Source organism: Homo sapiens, chromosome 3 (assembly GCF_000001405.40).
Source record: "Homo sapiens chromosome 3, GRCh38.p14 Primary Assembly".
In the NCBI taxonomy this organism is placed as follows: domain Eukaryota; kingdom Metazoa; phylum Chordata; class Mammalia; order Primates; family Hominidae; genus Homo; species Homo sapiens.
This window is the reverse complement of record NC_000003.12, coordinates 61,409,530-61,429,253: the sequence shown is the minus strand read 5'-3', so window position 1 is coordinate 61,429,253 and position 19,724 is coordinate 61,409,530. Positions and strand designations below refer to the sequence as shown.

The 19,724-nt window shown below is 41.3% G+C and overlaps 1 long non-coding RNA gene across 2 annotated transcripts in view, besides 2 other annotated features; it reads left to right on the top strand.

The window, feature by feature from the left end:
• Positions 1 to 538: 538 nt before the first annotated feature.
• Positions 539 to 19,724, top strand: part of LOC105377114 (uncharacterized) — a 144,240-nt gene continuing 125,054 nt past the window's right edge. The window contains exons 1-3 of one of the 2 annotated variants that reach the window (XR_940892.3): positions 539 to 740; positions 1,568 to 1,681; positions 3,380 to 3,509. This is a non-coding gene — a long non-coding RNA (uncharacterized LOC105377114). The remainder of the gene's footprint in view (positions 741 to 1,567; positions 1,682 to 3,379; positions 3,510 to 19,724) is intronic. The other variant, XR_001740725.2, reaches the window with a different exon arrangement.
• Positions 8,649 to 8,698: a silencer, noted in NCBI's record as "silent region_14496". NCBI's record gives its function as "represses an Ori minimal core promoter by ATAC-STARR-seq in GM12878 lymphoblastoid cells {active_cell/tissue: GM12878}" and the evidence as "EXISTENCE:reporter gene assay evidence [ECO:0000049][PMID:35858748]".
• Positions 10,633 to 10,836: a silencer, noted in NCBI's record as "fragment chr3:61404092-61404295 (GRCh37/hg19 assembly coordinates)". NCBI's record gives its function as "represses an EF-1alpha promoter that drives an FKBP-Casp9 reporter gene in an ReSE screen in HepG2 liver carcinoma cells {active_cell/tissue: HepG2}" and the evidence as "EXISTENCE:reporter gene assay evidence [ECO:0000049][PMID:32094911]".

The following is a 19,724-nucleotide window of genomic DNA, read 5'->3' as shown; positions in this document are numbered from 1 at the left end:
CCTCTCTGAGGAAGAGAAAAATCCCATGACCGGATTTGAGGAAACAAACGGAAGTCTAAGTGCACCCACTTCCGGAGTGGGCACCGCTCCTCAGGTAATTTAACCACGGCTCAGGGAGTCTAATGACAGCCCTGCATGGCTTCCGCTAGCCTCTGTGGGAAAACGGAGGTTTGGACAGTCTTCCCCTGGCACATTTGGGCCATAGCCTTGAAGGGAAAGATTTGAAAGCTATAAGGTGGGAGAAAACATAAAATAAAAACAAACCTCACACCAACTCTAGGACTATGGAAAAATGGCAGAGTTTCCACCAAGAGAAACATGAATACCAAGTGAGAACGTGAGCAGAAGCTTACCTGTCAATGCCAACTGTGTGCCCATCCCTCCTGGGCCACCTCATTACAGATCAGGTTATGCCATGCCTCTGTCTTGGGAGAAAATGGTAAGAGCAGTAGGCTAGCAGTCAGCCGAACTAACTGTCCTCCCAGCTAGCTGACCTCGTTTGTGAAATAGGGCACACGAATGCAATCATGATCCTAAGCTCCCTTAAGCTCTAAAAAAATAATATAGTGTAGTGATTCTGTCTAAAAAACGCTGACAAAGAATGCATCTACTTCCTAGTAAATTCTACAGCTGGAAGGAAGTTTCTAGAGGCACCTCAGCACTGACTTCAGTACCCATCACTCCACAACTCAAGGATGGAAACCTTGAACGTCTGAATTTGCTGAACTGCTTGAGATGAGGTGAGAGAAAAGGACTTTTTTTTTTTTTTGACACGGAGTCTTGCTCTGTGGCTCAGGCTGGAGTGCAGTGGCCCGATCTTAGCTCACTGCAACCTATGCCTCCCGGGTTCAAGCGATTCTCCTGCCTCAGCCCCGCAAGGACCTGGGATTACAGGCACCCACCCACCAGGCCCAGCTAATTTTTGTATTTTTAGTAGAGATGGTGTTTCACCATGTTGGCCAGGCTGGTTTCGAACTCCTGACCTCAAGTGATCCACCCACCTCAGCCTCCCAAAGTGCTGAGATTACAGGTGTGAGCCACCGTGCCCGGCCGCAAAGGGCTTTTAATAAATGATGCTCCTTAGTCTTTGGTATGTTACTCAAATAACCACCAGTGAATGGAATTACAATCTTTGGGCAGTTTAGCAAGATTCTTTATAGCAAGCTTGGCTCCTACCAGCGGACTATTACTCTAAAAACACTCTGGGAGCAATTACACACTCAGTAACCCCTCATTAAGTAGCAATTTTACCTAACCTTACCCGTTTCCTTTTGAGTGTGAGAGTGAAGGGAGAAATGAATTAAAGCACATCAAGAAGCTCTGTATGCTCTTGGCTTGGACGGTATGGTGAGCAGCAGGGGGGCATAATATATGCAGTAGCGCCATGCAGAAGTTGGGGGAGGAGAGATTTTGGTTAACACTTCCCACTCTCCCACCGCCCACACTTCAAATCAGTCCGAATTCCCGTGCTGTCAGAGAAAAGGGGAGGTGTGCGAGGGAAATAAGGACTTGCTATCACCGGTCCCATTTCAAATGGTAAATTCAGGTAGTATTAATCCTGTTTCAGAGTTGGGGGTATAACTCAAGGCTAGAAACAGCTGAGAAACAGCATGAGACAGAATCCCTTGAGAAGGAGGTGATCAGCTATTTCTCTCTTCTCATTTCATCTTAATTCTTGATGGTAAGATTTTTTAAAATTTCCTCAACAGGCCTACGTTAATTTATAAACGAATTATGCCCATGTAATAGGTGCTGAAACAAATGCATACAAGATAGGGAGATAAAATAGATCCAGAAGTAGAAGACCTCAGAATAATACACTAAACTATTTTTTACAGATATCTTTTTTCCTATATAATGATTCCAAATTACCTAATGACAAGTTTGTTTTCCTTTTTTTCTCCTGTTTTATTTTCCCTGTTTGCTTTCTTTATTTCTGGCCACTGAAAACATGAATATTGTTAATAAAGAATATTCCTAGGGTCCCTCCCCTCTCTCCCTTAATTCTGGAATCTGCTTCCATTCTCCTTGCCCATAGTACTGGAATGTTTGTTATCAATAATCATGAGATATAATAAGCGACATTTCTTTATTTTATTTTATTTTATTTTATTTTTGAGACAGAGTTTCGCTCTTGTCCCCCAGGCTGGAGTGCAATGGCGCGATCTTGGCTCACTGCAACCTCTGTCTGCCGGGTTCAAGTGATTCTCCTGCCTCAGCCTCCCGAGTAGCTGGGATTACAGGCACCCACCACCAGGCCCGGCTAATCTTTGTATTTTTAGTAGAGAAGGGGTTTTCACTACGTTGGACAGGCAACATTTTTTTCTTAATGGTGTGTGGGTAAGGTCTTGGTAAGGAAAAAACTAAATTTTAGTTTTATGACATTTTTTCAGATCACTTGTTTTTAGAGTCATCTAGTATGAGAGGCTATACAGTGCATGGAGCCAGGCTGCCTGTCCCTTCCTGTCCCAGCACTACCACTTGCCACTCTGCCCCTGTTTTCACCTTTGCAAAACAGAGATGAGACTAGTTGCTAACTCCTATAGATTTACCTGTAGAAAGAACCTAAAGCCTAGCACAAAGAATGTCTTCACTGAAAGTGAACTATAGAATTCACTTCTCCAACCAACATTTCTTGAGGCCCTGCTGCCACAGGAATTGTTACAGACATGTTTAAAGATACGGAGAACTAGAACCTTGCTTTTAAGAAGCTTTTTTTTCAAGTAAAAAAAATCTCAGGAATATTCGTTCATTTTATCAAACACGGGTGTGGTGGCTCATGCCTGTAACTCCAGCACTTTTGGTGGCCAAGGTGGAAGGATCACCTGAGCTCAGGAGTTCAAGACCAGCCTAGACAACACAGTGAGAGCCCATCTCTAAAAAAAAAAAAAAAAAAAAAAAAAAAATCAGCCAGGAAGTGTGGGGGTGTGCATACCTGTAGTCCCAGCTACTGGAGAGGCTGAGGTGGGAGAATGCTTGAGCCTGGGAAGTAGAGGCTGTAGTGAGCTGTGATCATGCCACTGCTCTCCAACCTGGGTGACAGAGTGAGACCCCATCTTAAGAGCAAACAAAACCAAACCAAGCCTGACAAATCAGACTGCATAGTATTCTGCAATTCAGTTAATCTGTTGTTTAATTAGATTGTTGGTTGTTCTCTTTTCAGCTGTGGATGTAGCTGTTGTGAACATTGTTGGAGTCGTCATTCTTCTATGTTACTTACATGTTTGCATACTGTTCTGTTTTTGAAAAATATTTCCAGGGATGTTTTGATAACTGTTGCCAGATTAGGGGTGCATACCTAATTTGATTTCTTAGTGAATACAAACTATTTCAGGATACCATCCATGATCCCTTCTACTTTCTCTCAATTTTCTTTTAGACATCCGTTGTGGACTCTTCTTTTTTGCCCTTTGCTGGATGGTAGGTGGAGGACAGTTATCAGAGCTGCAGAGAAGGAAATAACCTGTCTGGCATCAGACACTGATCCTGTTACCATCTAATCCACACAGGTGAGATCATAGCCCAGTCCACTCCAGATACCAAGAACATTCTGGATTCTCTAGTTGAGAGAAATACTATAGCCAAAGATTCGCAACTGAGTGTCAAGTCATACTTCTTTTTCGTCTTCAAATTTCACTTCTTGATTATTGTCATGTGACTTTGTCACCTGATTTGAGTTGCTAGGTTCCTGACTGCCCGCTGTGTGTGAGTCACTGCTTTGGGTCTCAGTTGAGCAACTCTGTTTCGATGGTGGTTCTATCTTGTCCTCTAGGCTTTGTAGGGCCTGGTCCTGTGCTCTCCCCTTAACTAGTTATCTAGATCCTGCCCCTGCCCTTTGGTTTACCCTGACTGCCCATTTTGCACCATGGGTTCAGGCTCATCTCTATCTGACTTGAAATGAGAAAAATGAAATAACCAAGTTACTTCTTCTCTCCTTGTGCTGGTTATCTATTGCTATGTAATCTATTACCCTGAAACCTAGTGACTTAAAGAAACAATAATTATTTTATCTTTCCTATTTTCTATGGATCAGTACTTTTGGGAAGGGCTCAGGTGAGAAGTTCTGGATTGGGGTCTGTCATGCATTTGAAGTCAAAAGATGGCTAAGGTGGGAGCTGCTGGGGGCTCACCCCGCATTTCTCTCTCTGTAGTCTCATGGCTTCCCTATGTGGTCTCTCAATGGGCTAGGTTAGGCTTCCTCACAACATGGTATCCTCAAAGCAGTGGAAGTGCTTACATGGGGGCCCAGGGCTCCCACATCAGTGTTCTGGTGAAAAGGGCAGAAACAGAATTTTATGACCTAATCTTGCAAGTAGTGTTTTGTTCGCCATACTCAATAGGTTGAAAACAGTCACAAAACCTAGCCCATATTTAAGAGGGGGGACTTAAATTTCATTTCTTGATGGGGGATGTGGCCATCTTTGGAAAATATAATCTGTAACAGCCCTCTACTAGATACTCTTCTCCAGTTTCCCTCCAACATGACAGCTAATATCTTTGGAAAAGTGGATGGGCAAAAGAGACTGTGTCTTCTCACCTCAGAGGAATGCCTGTTCATCTGTAAAACCAGATCAAATGCCCCTCCATCCTCTCTGAGGCCTGCCTTAACTCTCCATAGTGCTGTTTCTTCTTCTGAGCTATAAAATAACAAAATTGCTGGGCGCAGTGGCTCAAGCCTGTAATCCCAGCACTTTGGGAGGCCGAGGCGGGTGGATCATGAGGTCAGGAGATCGAGACCATCCTGGCTAACACGGTGAAACCCCGTCTCTACTAAAAATACAAAAAATTAGCCAGGTGTGGTGGCGGGTGCCTATAGTCCCAGCTACTCGGGAGGCTGAGGCAGGAGAATGGCGTGAATCCGGGAGGCAGAGCTTGCAGTGAGCCGAGATAGCACCACTGCACTCCAGCCTGGGCGACAGTGCGAGACTCGGTCTCAAAAAAAAAATAATAATAATAAAATAAAATAAAATAAAATAAAATAAATTAACAAAATTCTGGCCTAGTGCCTTATATTTTACAGATCACGCTGTAAAATATTTCACTTTGTATCTTTATTCATTCTGTATTAGTGTGTGTTTCTTTTACCTATGAGCAGGAATCCTGTATTACAAACTTGGCATTCTTTCCCACCCCTACTGGCACCCTAGCATTGAGACCCAAAGTGGTTCTCAGGGATATCTCTTGAATAAATGAATAAATGAATGAAAATAAAATACGAGTCAAAGAATAGGAAATTATACTGAAAAACATCATAATTAACCAGGTAAACTTGGCTTTTTTTTCTACTTTTAAGTTCAGGGGCACATGTGCAGGTTTGTTACATGAGTAAATTGTGTGTCTCTGAGGCTAGGTGTACAAATGATCCTGTCACCGAGATAGTGAGCATAGTACCGAATAGGTAGCCTTCCAACCCACAGCCCCCACCTATTCTGCCCCCTCAAGCAGTCCCCAGTGTCTACTGTTCCCATCTTTCTGTCCCTGTGTATTCAATGTTTAGCTTCCACTTATAAGTGAGAACATGTGGCATTTGGTTTAAACTTGGCTTTTAAATGCCTGTCTTTAAAATTGCTGTGGGCTTCAGATGTGCTTGTATTTTGGTAGGTAGTGGCCTAGTAAAAAAACTGCAACTCTCCTCAAAGATAGGAGCTCACCAGAGATACCTGCTATTTGTTCTGAGTGTCCCTTGGACTGTATTGCCTTTTATGCTCAGCAGACCAGTTAAAAGCAGAGTTGTTGACAGACCAAAGTGTAAATTAAAGGGCTGGGATACATCATTAGACATATGGTCTCCTAGGAATTGAGATTTTTCCTGTAGTAGGTGGAATTTGTAACACTCTGGCCTCTAGGACCATATGGTTGTATTTAAGAGATGCCAGCAGAAATAAATACTTGACTTTTAGTACAAGATTCTTTTTTGCTGGTCCTCCCCCACAGCCTCAGAGAAGTTTCCTGCTGTAAAATCTAAAAGCTCAACATTAATAATTGGTTTAAATCCTTTTACCAATTTGTTAGTGATAATTTGACGCTGTGTATGGAATAGGCTAGACAAGGGCTATCCCTACTGAGGGTCAGTGACCCTAGGCTGATCCTTGAGGTAGGCAAGTAGCATGATCTATGCCATGTAACTCTGGACTCAGCAACAGCTGATTGGATTGAGCTGATTCCTGACCTAGGACAACTACTCAAGCTAGCACTTTAAGAGCTAGCCTGGCTTTATAAAATCTACCCTTAAATAGAAATAAAAGAAACAAAAAGGAACTTTAACAAAATGACAAAAACAAGACTACAACAACATTAGAAAAATTAAATACTTAGGCATACATTTGACAAAAGAAGTTCAAAACTTGTGCACTGAAAGCCACAAAACATTGCTGGGAGAAATGTAAGAATATGTAAATAAATGGAGAGATATACTCTTTCATGGATTGAAAGACAATATTATTAAGGTGACAATTCTCTCCAAATTAATCTATAGGTTCCATGCAATCTCGGCCAAAATCCCAACAGGCTGTTTTGTTTAATAGCCTAAAATACTTTGAAAATGAGGAGCAGATTTGGAGGACAAACAATACCCAATGTTACAAATTATTTTAAAACTACAGTAGTCAAAATAGTATGGAATTAGTACCAAGACAGACAAATAGGTCAATAGAACAGAATAGAGATTGCAGAAATAGACCTACACATATTTGGTTAATAGATTTTTGATAAAAGCAATTCAAAGGATAGTCTTTCCAACTAATGGTGCTGAAACAGTTGTATATTCATATATGACAAAATGGACACCAATCCATAACTCATGCCATATATAAAAATTAGCTAAAAATTAACCATACACCTAAATATGAAAGCAAAAATTATAAAAGTTATATAAGAAAACAGTCAAAAATCTTAGTGGCCTTGAGTTAAACAAACTATGTTCGCTATAACACCAAAAGCACATGCCATAATAAATCTGATAAACTGGACTTTATCAAAACTAAAAACATCTGCTCTTTAAAAGACATTGGTATGAGAATGAAACGATAAACCACAGACTAGAAGAAGATATTTGCAAATCACATCTCTGAGAAAGGATTTATATCCAAAATATATAAAGAATTCTCAAAACACATTAGTAAGAAAAGATCAACCCAATAGAAAAATGAACAAAAGATTTGAACAGATATCTCCCCAAAGATGTGTGGAAGGCAGATAAGCACTTGAAAAGATGCTCAACATCATTATTCATTAGGAAAATGCAAACTGAAATCACAAGTAAATACCATCACACCTATTAGCATGGCTAAAGCTACAAGTATTGACATACCAAGTGTTGGTGGAGGTGTGGAACAGATGGAACTCTCACACATGGCTGATGGGAATGTAAAATGGTACAACAGTTTGGCAGTTTCTACAAAATGTAAATATGCAGTTACTAAGTGATTTAGCTGCCTCATTTCAGGTATCTACTAACCAAAATGAAAGGATATGTCTATTTGGAAATTGTAAACAAATATTCATAGTGTTTTATTCATAATAGCCCCAAACTGAAAACAATCTAAATAGTTATAAACAGGTAAATGGCTGAAAAAATTGTTGTTTATCCCCACAAAGGAATACTACTCAGCTGTAAAAAGTAATGGACGTACAAAATATCATAGATAAATCTCAAAATCAGTATGCTGGGTAAAAAAAACAAAAACAGTGAAAAGGAGTGACTGTATGATTCCTTTTATAAGACATGCTAGGAAATGCAACCTAATTTCTAGCAGCAGAAAACAGATCAGCAATTGCATGTGTACAGGGAATGGGGGTGGGGGGGGGTGGGGAAGGGCAGACGAGTGGGATGAAAAAGGTTCAGGAAATTTTGGTAGTGACAGATATGTTCATTCTTCTGATTGTGATGATAGATTTGTGGGTATATACATATGTCCAAACTATGAAAATTAATTTTATTTATTTATTTATTTATTTAGAGACAGAGTCTTGCTCTGTTGCCCAGGCTGGAGTGCAGTGGCACTGTCTTGGCTCACTTCAACCTCTGCCTCCTGGGTTCAAGCAATGCTCCTATCTCAGTCTCCCGAGTAGCTGGGATTACAGGCATGTACTACTGTGCCCCGCTAATTTTTGTGTTTTCAGTAGAGACAGAGTTTCGCCATGTTGGCTAGGCTGGTCTCAAACTCGTGACCTCAAGTGATCTGCCTGCCTCGGCCTCCCAAAGTGCTGGGATTACACTGTGCCAACCTCAAACTGAATTTTAAATATGTCAATTATACCTTAACAAAGCTATGAAAGAAAGAGAGAAAGGAAGAAGGAAGCAAACAAGGAAGAAAGGAAAGAAGGAAGGAAGGAACCCAAGAGAAGCAGAGACGAACAGCACCTGGGTCATGCTAACAGCAGAGCTCTAGAAAAGTGATTCCCATTGAGGAGGCCACAGGGTAACCAACCAGATGGCTAGATCCTCCTTGGATCCTGAATAAGCCACAGTTCAATGCTGGTGAAGACTGACAATCAAGCTGACTAATCTTTACCTGAGATTTCTGTTTCCCTCACTGCCATGTGTATCCCCACTCCTTCTCAAATTATGAGAAATAGCTTCAATACAGTCCAGAGGGACTGATTTAGCAGGTATTCTGTCTGCTTTACCGCTTTCACATGAACACATCTTTCATGGGCTTATTTGCCACCTAAACTGAAACTGAAATTTAGTTTTTCCTTTCACCTCTCTCTTTTCATTTGAGATGTATCTCCGTCTTTCTAGTTTGTCTAGCCAGTATCTAGACTGAGACATTTGTGACTCCTCACTCTGAGTTTTCAGGTCAACCTGTAAACTTGGAGAGAGAAGGGAAAGAGAGACAGACAGACAGACAGATAGACAGACACACACACACACACACACACACACACACAGTCAGCACTCCCTGGCTTCCTTTGACGTCTATACGTCCAAGCTGGCTGTTCTGTCATGCACATTTACTTGCTGTTGCATGAGACTAGTGGTACCAAACTGAGAGCTACTGGATGGCAGGGACTGTGTTTTCTTTATCTTTGTGCTTAGTATAGTAACTACCATAGGTGGGTGCTCAATACATGATTATTGAGTGAATATTTGAAATTGGAGAAGACATTGCTTCATGTTAAGCGACAGGAAGAGTTTCTATTCTGACTTTTTAAGCCAGGCTGTTTCTACAACGGGCAAGAATTATTTTTATGTAAACCAAGTGAATTAGTTACAACTCTTTCGGTTGCAAGTTATCTCATTTACTCATTTCGTAAATATCTCTTGAGTACCTACTATGTTCCAGCCACCATTTCAGGTATAGCTATGAACAAATAGACAAAATATCTCTGCCTTCATGGAGTTTACATTTTAGTTTGGTGAGGCAGAAAGTAAATAAGATAATTAACAAAAATATATAATGTGTTAGATGGGATAAGTGCTTTGAAAAAAAATAATAAATGAGGGAAGGAACTTAGGGAGTGCCAGGGTGTGGTGAGGGTTATAATTTTATAGAGGATAAGTAAGAGAAACTCTATACAGAATTTGGAGGACTTGCTTTCAACTTGAGCTACTTAAAAAACAAAGGGAATTTATGAGTTCACATAAATGTAAAGGATCCACCCCTAGCACAGTTGGATGTAGAGCTTGAAGTGAAGCTTTCTGAAATCTATAATATCTCTTTTCATCTTTTGGCTTTGCTTTCTTTTCCTTGGCTTCGACCTCTAGCTGATTCTCTCCCAGTGACAATATGGCTGCTATATTTAAAACAGCACAACTAAGAAGCCCTAGGGAAAAGAGAGATTATCTTCTCCAGTGGTTCCAACAAATGTCCTGATGTTGAGTCTCATCATCTCATTGGTCTGGCTTGGATCATATGGAACTGGGAATACACTGATGATCCAGGCTCAGTCAGGTGTCTGCCCATGGGGGAGAGGTAGGAAAGTGGGGTCTGCTCACCCAAATTATAGAGAGTAAAGTGGGGGTGGGGGATCCCACAGATAGGAAATGTGCCATTATCAGCAAACAGAGGTTAGGTGCGGGACAGGCAGTCACAACAAATGACCCCCAGCCCAGCATTTGGTTGGAGAGGAGAGACGCTGCTGACTGAGGCTCACCAAGCATCTGCCGTGCATAAACGGAAAGAGCAGCCATAGGTCAGAGCCACAGTGAAGCTCTGGCTTAGTGCAAACTTCTGCTTTACTGGGCATTAGCCTGAGGCTGCTTGCACATGACCCTTCCCCATGTGCAAGCATTCCATGTTAAGAATGTTTAATCCTCAGGACCTCAGAGAAATTTGTTTCCAGTGATGCTGTTTATTTTTTTGCTTTTATTTGTTTATTTTTTTAAAGACAAGGTCTCCCTCTGTTGCCCAGGCTGGAGTGCAGTGGTGTGATCATAGCTCACTGTAACCCTGAACTTCTGGGCTCAAGCTATCTTCCTTCCTCAGCCTCCCAAGTAGCTGACACTATAAGCATGTACTACCACACCTGGCTAAAGGTGATATTGTTGAAATGAAAACTTAGCTGTATCTGAGGGAAGGGATATGTGTTATATTTGTAGAGGATTGATGTCAGGGACAGACTGTTTACAATGAATTCCCTAATGAATCACTTCTGGGATGATTTCCAGGTGTAGAGGTAAGAACGTGAAGTGAGAGGGCTGAGGTTCCATAATCCTTGCATTTTTCTACTTTCAAAAGACAGGAGATTGGCTGGGCACAGTGGCTCATGCCTGTAATCCCAGCACTTTGGGAGGCCAAGGCAGGTGGATCACCTGAGGTCAGGAGTTCGAGGCCAGCCTGGTCAACATGGTGAGACCCCATCTCTACTAAAAATACAAAAATTAGCTGGGTGTGCTGGTGCACACCTGTAATCCCAGCTGCTATGGAGGCTGAGGCAGGAGAATTGCTTGAATCTGGGAGGCGGAAGTTGCAGTGAGCTGAGATCGGACCACTGCACTCCAGCCTGGGCAACACAGCAAGACTCTGTCTTGAAAAAAAAAAAAGACAGGACAGCACAGTGGTTAAGGACGTGGCTTTGGAGTCAGAGAGATCAGGGTTAAAAGCCCAGCTCTGCTACTTCTATTGACTTTGGTTTACCTCCCTGCCTCTGTTTTCTCATCTGTAAGATGAAATGGCCTAACATCAATACTATATGGTTCTTGAATGGATACATATAAAGTCAAGTCTTACCTCTTAGTTGTTACAATCATCAAATGTATGGCCAGACAAACGGCCACATCAGGAATTATCCACATGGTATTATTTGGGACAGTAAAGGCATGTACTGAAAAGCATTTCTGCCACAAACCTGCTTTGGGTTATAAGGTTCCCATGTCCTTTTGTACTTTTGGTTTAAGATATCAAGGTTTGTTTAATTATATTCTGGGAAATTTTGAAGGTTCTAAGGTTGTACTTCAAGGACCACTAAAGAAGGGAAAGGGTGGGGGAATCAAATAGTCCTTGGGGGCCCCTCACCCGCTACTTCCAGTAGATAAATTTTATTTTTATCTGTTTTACAAGCTGATTCCACATGAGAATTTCTTTGACAAAGAGTTCTGTGGCTGAAGAAAAAAGTTTGGACAGTGCTGCATCAAGGCATTGAAGCTTCTATTAAAAAACATCATGATGTCCTGAACTATGATCTTAACTTAAAAAAAAAAGAAAGAAAACATCATGATGTCATATGGAAAGGCACTGGGTTGTTTTGCTTGAAGGAGAAAAACCACAGAAGGGATGGTGCCAACTCTCTTCATGTATTTGAAAGGTCGCCAAGTGGCCCAGAGAGTCAACTAGAGGCAGATTTCAGCTTGATGGAGAGAGGAGAAAGATGTTTCTAGCAATTCAAGCTCTTCTTCCAGCAATCATTTTAGGGGCAATGGTACACTGCTGTCCCCGGAGATGTCCCAGCAAAGGCCTTAGGCTGTCAAGTACAATACCAAGGAGATTCCATCAAGAGCAGCATGATGGACTGTGACTGCCAAGATTACATCCAAACTCTAAAATTCTGTGATCTGGAGTAATGCATTACGGTGTTACACCCCAGTGAATGTCTTGTTAAAATTTCATCACCTATGTTATAGATTCTAAGAGTATGGCCTCAAAAGAATGTGCCATAGGACACTTTTGTTTTGAACTAATTGGAGATTTACAAACAAGTTCAGAAAATAGTAAAAAACTATTTCATTACCCCTCAACCATCTTCCCTTAATGTTAACATCTTACATTACCATAGTACAATAATCAGAACCAGGAAATTAACATTGGTAGGATACTATTAGCAAAATTAAATATGCTATTTGAATTATATCAGTTTTTTCACTAAAGTCTTTCACTAAAGTCTCATTCCAACATGAGAAATCTGGTTCTTATTATCTGCAATATGTTATTTGATTACTGCTAGTAGAAACTACATACGGTAGTTTAAGATTTATTAATGCATACCCTTGTGAGAAATTGACTTCCTGATTAGTTTATACCCCTATTATCCAGAATCAAAGAATTTAGAGCTGGAATGTAATGTCTATAATCACAGTCCATCTTTTACTGTTGAGGGAATCTCCTTGCTATTGTTCTTGAGAGCCCATCTTTTTGGGAAATTTTCCCTTCCCAAAAAAAGGGAACTTTTTGGCATGATTTTTCATTAAGAACAATATTGTTATTCATTCAACAGACATGTATTTGGCACTTATCTACAGATGTGTGTCAGGCACTAGGAATACAGAAATAATAGATATAGCTCTTGCCTTCTAGAAATTTGTAGTCTAGCAAGAGGTAGGTGTAAATGAACAATTATAATAGAGTAGAATGTGGGATTGGGAAGAGAAAGCATATAATAACACTGTATGGGCTACGTGCTATGCTAGGTATAAATACTACAGGAACACAGAGTGAGTACCTCACCCCTCTTGAAGTATCATGAAGACTTTCTGGAGATGATGGCTGAGTCAAGTCCAGAGGGACTGAATCCCTAGACTCAATTTATCCAGCATCTCCTCCAAATCTTCCAACTACAAGGAATCTAATTCTGAAAGTGACCAGAGGATCTACTTATCAATTCAATGAGCTAGTGATATGGTTTGGTGTGTCCCCACCCAAATCTCATCTTGAATTCTAGTTCCTATAATCCACATGTGTTGTGAGAGGCACCTGGTGGGAGGTAGATGCATCATGGGGGTGGTTACCTCCATGCTGTTCTTCTTATAATGAGTGAGTTCTCATAAGATCTAATGGTTTTATAAGGGGTTTTCCTCCTCCTTCGCCCTGCACTTCTGCTTGCTGCCACCATGTGAAGAAGGTTTGCTTCCCCTTCCACCATGATTGTAAGTTTCCTGAGGCTTCCCCAGCCCTGCAGAACTGTGAGTCAATTAAACCTCTTTCCTTTATAAATTACCCAGTCTTGGGTACCTCTTGATTGCAGCATGAGAATGGACTAATACAGCTAGTATATTATGCTTGTAAGGTTCTCCACTAAGGTGCTTTTGCTTATTATTTCATTGGCTCCTCAGAATAGCCTTGGCAGATCTGTAGAACAAATATTTGGGCTGCTGTGTGGAGAAAAACTGTAAGAGGGCGAGAGTAGAAGTCATGGTTCAGGCCAGAGATGATGAGTCTCAGTTTCCTCATCTGTGAGATAAGGAGTGGTAGTACCTATCTCACAGGATAAATGTGAGAATTAGAGATAATATATATAGTGTGACCATGCAATAAAACTATGGCTGCCACTGTCAATATACATATCTGTCAGAGTCCCATCAGGAAACAGATGGTGCACTCAAATTACAATAATTCAAAGAGGGTTTAATGAAAGGATTATTTTCAAAGCTGTTGGCAATGTTTAGGGAAACCCACAAAGAATGGTGTAGCACCCCAGGTATTATAACAGAGCAGTTACCAGAGCCAGGAAGGAAAGCTCCAACAGAGAGGGAGGTCATGAGAAGAGTCATGATGGTTGGTTAAGGGGTGAAGGGACCTCGTTCCTCCCTCCCTCTGCTGCCAGTGTTACTCACTCACCAAACCCAACCAGATGCTAGAGCGTCCAAAACCTATTGCTTTCATCCATTCAAGTCAGCCTCTTGGGACAGAAAGCAGTGTTTCTAGAGTGGCTTTAGAGGGACAAGTGGAAGGTGTGTGTTTCAACTCATGAGGCAAATTGAGAAAGTCTCAGAGAAGGGTAATTTTCTGGGAAGATACCTCAAGAAGGGTTCACTGCGCATCCCCAGCTCGCTTGTCAGTACGCCTTCCATTGCCCTGGCTATTGGCCTGTCTTTTAATTGGAAGTTTCTGTGGACATTTGTTGTTTTCTCTGCCAGCCTCCACTCTCCTTTCTTCTAGCAAAAATATCTGCTTTTCTTATAGGGATCCATTCCCCCACTACTCTCAATCTGTCTGCTCCAGTGGGATTTGTATCCCAAGATGAACATGTGACCAAGGCCCAAGTCAATCAGCATGGCCTATTCTCCCGGCCATTGTAATTGGTTCATGATTAAGCACATGGCTGAATTAGAAGTCGTGAGACACTGTGAGTCTCTCATTAAGAATAGAGGGTGAGGGAGAGAAGAGCTGATGCTTTCATTTTACCAACCAGAGTGATAATCTTGAGCCTGAAAATGAAACCAACGTAGCAAAAAAGAGACCTGAGATCCCTGAACGTGGGATCTTCTGAATGTGCTATCTTCAGCTGTGCCTGAGGATAGCACCACCACTAAACTTTGTTGTTAAGTAGGCCAAAAATTTTTGTTTTCAGTTAATTTGTGTTGTGTTTGATTTTCTGTTACACCAAAAAGAGTCTGGACACAGTTCTTTTGTTGTAGATAATAAGTTTAATACAAATCTGAGTTCAAAAATAAATCTAAGGCAGGGTCATAGTTCTTAGAGGCTGTTCCATATATCCTGTAATCCTGTACTGTACTATACTGTATTCCATGAAAGAACAGTGTTAGTTATGTTCTAGCATAACATAAAGGCAATTGATATGGTAATCAGCTGTAAATGTAATAACAAGACAGTTGAGATTTGTGTTTTAAAACACATTCTTGCACAATTACTTCCCCATTAAATTCATACAAGAAGCTGAAGTTAGAAATCAAGATTGATATCACATATCTGCTGAGTGGTTGTCTGGGTAGAAAATGAAAATCGTGCTAAAAGTTAAAATCCTCTATTTGACTGAATTGACAAAATAGTAAAATTCCAATTGATCTAATTCCCGGTGGCCAATGATTTTACTTTTCTTAACAAAAACTATGATTTGGAAATTAGGAAGCTCTCTCTCAATCACTGATCAGCTGTTCTTGTTTAAATGCCTAAATTTCATGCTTCTCTGAGTAGGGGATTTAAAAGAATAAGAACTTAAAAATGCCTCTATATCAATATTCTTAAATTTCAGCTAATTAAATTTTAGAATGCAAGGAGCATTTTTAAAAACATGACTAAAATTAAAAATTCTAGAAGTTAACTCTTAACCTTGCGTTTACTTAGGAAATTTAGAAATCATTTTCTTCTATAATAAGAGTGTTTCCTTTTTGCTAACAGCTTTATTGAGATGTAATTCACATGTTGCAAAAATCACTCTTGTAAAGTGTTCAACTCATTGGCTTTCAGAATATTAACAAAGCTGTGCAGTCATCACCACTGTCTAATTCTAGAATTTTTTCATCTTCACTACCCTTTCCCCCCTCATCTCAGCCCCTGGCAACCACTAATCTAGTTTCTGTCTCCAAGGATTTGCCTCTTTGGATATTTCATATCAATGAAATCATGCAATAGGTGGTCTTTTGTGGCTGGCTTCTTCGACTTAACATAGTGTTTTCAAGGTTCATTCATGTTATAGAACAGGACATCTTTTGCCTATGCTTGAAAAGAACAACGAGGACCTTGATGAGTAAGATGCTAAAGTATCCCTGCATCCCCTCTGATATGGTTTGGCTGTGTCCTCATCCAAATCTCATCTTGAATTTCCACTTGTTGTGGGAGGGACCTGGTGAGAGGTAATTGAATAATGGGGGCAGGTCTTTCCCGTGCTGTTCTCATGAGAGTGAATAAGTCATGAGATCTGATGGTTTTATAAGGCAGAGTTTCCCTGCAGAAGCTCTCTTTTTGCCTGCTGGCTTCCATATAAGATGTGACTTGCTCCTCCTTGCCTTCTGCCATGATTGTGAGGCCTCCCCAGCCATGTGGAACTGTAAGTCCATTAAATCTCTCTTTCTTTTGTAAATCAGCCAGTCTTAGGTATGTCTGTATCAGCAGTGTGAAAACAGACTAATATACCCTCTGACCTGCTTTATCAATTCCTTCTCCACAACATAGCCAGAATGGTTCCCTCCCTCTCTTCCTTCCTTCCTTCTTTTCTCTTTCTTTCTCTCTCCTCTTTCTTTCTTTTTCTTTCTCACTCTCTCTCTTTCTCTCTCTCCCTCCCTTTGCCTTTCTTTCTTTCTTTCTTGCTTTCTTGCTTTCTTTGTCTGTCTGCCTTTCCTTTCCTTTCCTTTTTCCCTTCCCTTCCCTTCCCTTCCCTTCCCTTTCCTTCTTCCCTTCCCTTCCCTTTCCTTCCCTTCCCCTCCCCTCCCCTCCCCTCCCCTCCCTTCCCTTCCCTTCCTTTCCTTTCTTTTCTTATTTCTTTCACAGGGTCTTGCTCTGTCACCCAGGCTGGAGTGCAGTGGCACTATCATGGCTCACTGCAGCCTCGACCTCCTGGGTTCAAGCAATCCTTCTACCTCAGCCTCCTGAGTAGCTGGAACTACAGGCATGCGTCACTATGCTAACTTTTGTATTTCTCTGGTAGAATTGGGGTTTCACCACGTTGCCCAGGCTGGTCTCAATCTCCTGGGCTCAAAATATTCACCTGCCTCAGCCTCCAAAAGTGCTGGGATTATAGGCATGAACCACTGTGACTGGCACAGAATGGTTTCTTTGTTTGTTTCTTTTTTTTTTTTTTTTTTGAGACAGAGTCTCACTTTGTCACACAGGCTGGAGTGCAGTGGCATGATCTTGGCTCACTGGAAGCTCCGCCTCCTGCTCTCGAGTTCACGCCATTCTCCTGCCTCAGCCTCCCAAGTAGCTGGGACTATAGGCATCTGCCACCATGCCCAGCTAATTTTTTTTGGTATTTTTAGTAGAGATGGGGTTTCACCATGTTAGCCAGGATGGTCTTGATCTCCTGACCTCATGATCTGCCCACCTCAGCCTCCCAAAGTGCTGGGATTACAGGCGTGAGCCACCGTGCCTGGCCCAGAATGGTTTATTAAACTGTATGTCAGTGCACGGCCCTTCCTTCCAAGTCAGCATGACCCACCAGGCCCTGTTCCACCTTGCCAGTTCCTTAGCTCCCCTCTTTTCTTCTTCAGTTCCCAGGTATGCTCCCTCTAGCCCAGGGCATCTACTCATGCTGTCCCTGCCCCCTGCAGCTGCCCTTCTTCTTTCTGCTTTAGTCAGTGCCTTAGATTCCTTCTTCAGATCTCAACCCCAGTGTGATTCTCTCAAGTCTAGGTCATGTTCCTTGAATACTTTTCTGCATAGCATTTATTCAGTTTGTAATTATACTCCCATCAGTGTGACTATTTCATTCCTTTTTATAACCCCCAACTAGACCATATATTTTCAAACACTAGAGATGATGCCTGTGTGGCTCATTAAAAAATATTTATAGTTCCTAGCACATAGGGGGTGCTCCCTTTTCCTCAAAGAATTTCCAAAATATTTTAGTATAGTTTTTTATGTTTGGTGTATTTATTAATAGTAGAGTACTTTGAACATTGGAAACTCTGTCAACCAGAATGTTGGATTGACCTTTGTCTGACCAGGCTGTGTAATAGAATTCACTGTTCTTTGTTTAATGTTGACAATGCTGATCAATAACAGTGGGTTAGAATCATGCAGAGAGCAAAGGGAATGAGGAGTTGACATAAAAAGCCCACCAAATTTGTTTTTTTTTTTTTAATTTGAGTCCTTTTACTTCATTCTGGAAGCCACTTGGAATGGATACTTCAAATCAATACAATATTGGATCAAGAAGACTGCACATTTCATCCTAAGAGTGGAATCAGACACTCAGTGCAAAGAAATAGGCTGTGGAAAGTCCTCTCCATGGGGTAACAGGGTTGCCTCGCACTCTGTGCTTCCCTAGAACAGTGAGCTTCTTCCACACACTATTGTTCTTTTTTTTTTTTAGAGACAAGCTCTCACTCTGACACCCAGGCTGGAGTGCGGTGGCACAATAATGGCTCATAGCTCACTGTAGCCTTAACTTCTGGGGCTCAAGCGATCCTCCCACCTCAGCCTCTTGACTGGAGGACCAGAGGTGTGTACCACCATGGCGGCTAATTTTGTTTATTTTTTGTGGAGACAAGGTCTCACTGTGCAGCCCAAGTTGATCTTGAACTCCTGAGCTCAAGCAGTCCTCCTGCCTTGGCCTCCCAAAGTGCTAAAATTATAGGCATGAGCCACCAGGCCCACCCCACACACTATTGTCTGTTATTTTTTTTTTAAAATAATGTTTTTAGAGACGGGGGGGGGGTCTTGCCATGTTGCCCAAGCTGGCCTCGAACTTCTGGTTCAAACAATCCTCCCACCTTAGCCTCCCAAAATACTGGGATCACAGTTTTGAGCCACTATGCCCAGCTGAAATACTTAACAGCAATTCCTTTCCAGCTCCACTGCAACATACCCATGCATAACACCTGTGGTCCTCGAACTTTAGCAGTTACAGGAATCATCTGGAGAGCTTGTTAAAATGCAGATTGCTGAGCCACACCCCTGGAGACTTCAATTGTGCAGTCTAGGGGTTGAGTCTGAGAATTTGCATCTTTTTTTAAAAAATTAATTATTATTATTATACTTTAAGTTCTAGGGTACGTGTGCACAACGTGCAGGTTTGTTACATATGTATACATGTGCCATGTTGGTGTGCTGCACCCATTAACTCGTCATTTAGCATTAGGTATATCTCCTAATGCTATCCCCCAAATTTGTTTTAAAGCAACCTCCCTCCTTCTTTCTCCTTTTCCTTCTTCCTCCCTCACGCACCTTCACTCCCTCCCTCTCTCCCAGCCAGAGAGCAGCTGTTGAATTAAATTATAGGCCTCTTTCCTTTCCAAATAAGAATCAACATATATATATATATATATATATATATTTTTTTTTTTTTAACAACCCTATATTTTTATGGAACAATAAGTTACATGATCTCATCTTTTTACAAGGTAATTATATTAGAAAAACTCTTAAAAGTTTTATATATAGTTGATCTAAATGCCTTTAAAAACATGATGAACTATGGCAGATTTGTTCTTAGAAAGAATAATTGATATCCTGAGGGACCAAATGAAATGTTATGGGAGTCCCTGTCTTCACAGGTGTTATGAAATTCAAAATCAACATTGAGCGTTTGTCTAGACCAGTGGGCAATCTCACTGCTCTCCACCTCCCGACAGCCCTCCCCTTCCTGTCCAGGGACATCTGGCGATGTTTGGAGACTTTTTATTGTCACAAATAGGGGGTAGGGAGCTACTGGCATCCAGTGGGTAAAGGCCTGTGATGAGCAGGACAACTCCCACAACAAAGACCTACCCAGCCCAAATGGCAGTAGTGCCAAGGTTGAGAAACCCTGGTCTATACAAAATAAGTGTTTTGAGATTGTATTAAATTACCGCCAAATAGTTATTTATTATTCCCTTGTTAAATAACAGTTTGTGGAAATTCTTGAATAGTAAGATACATGCCTTCCTTTGTTCATTCTGCCAGCTTTTC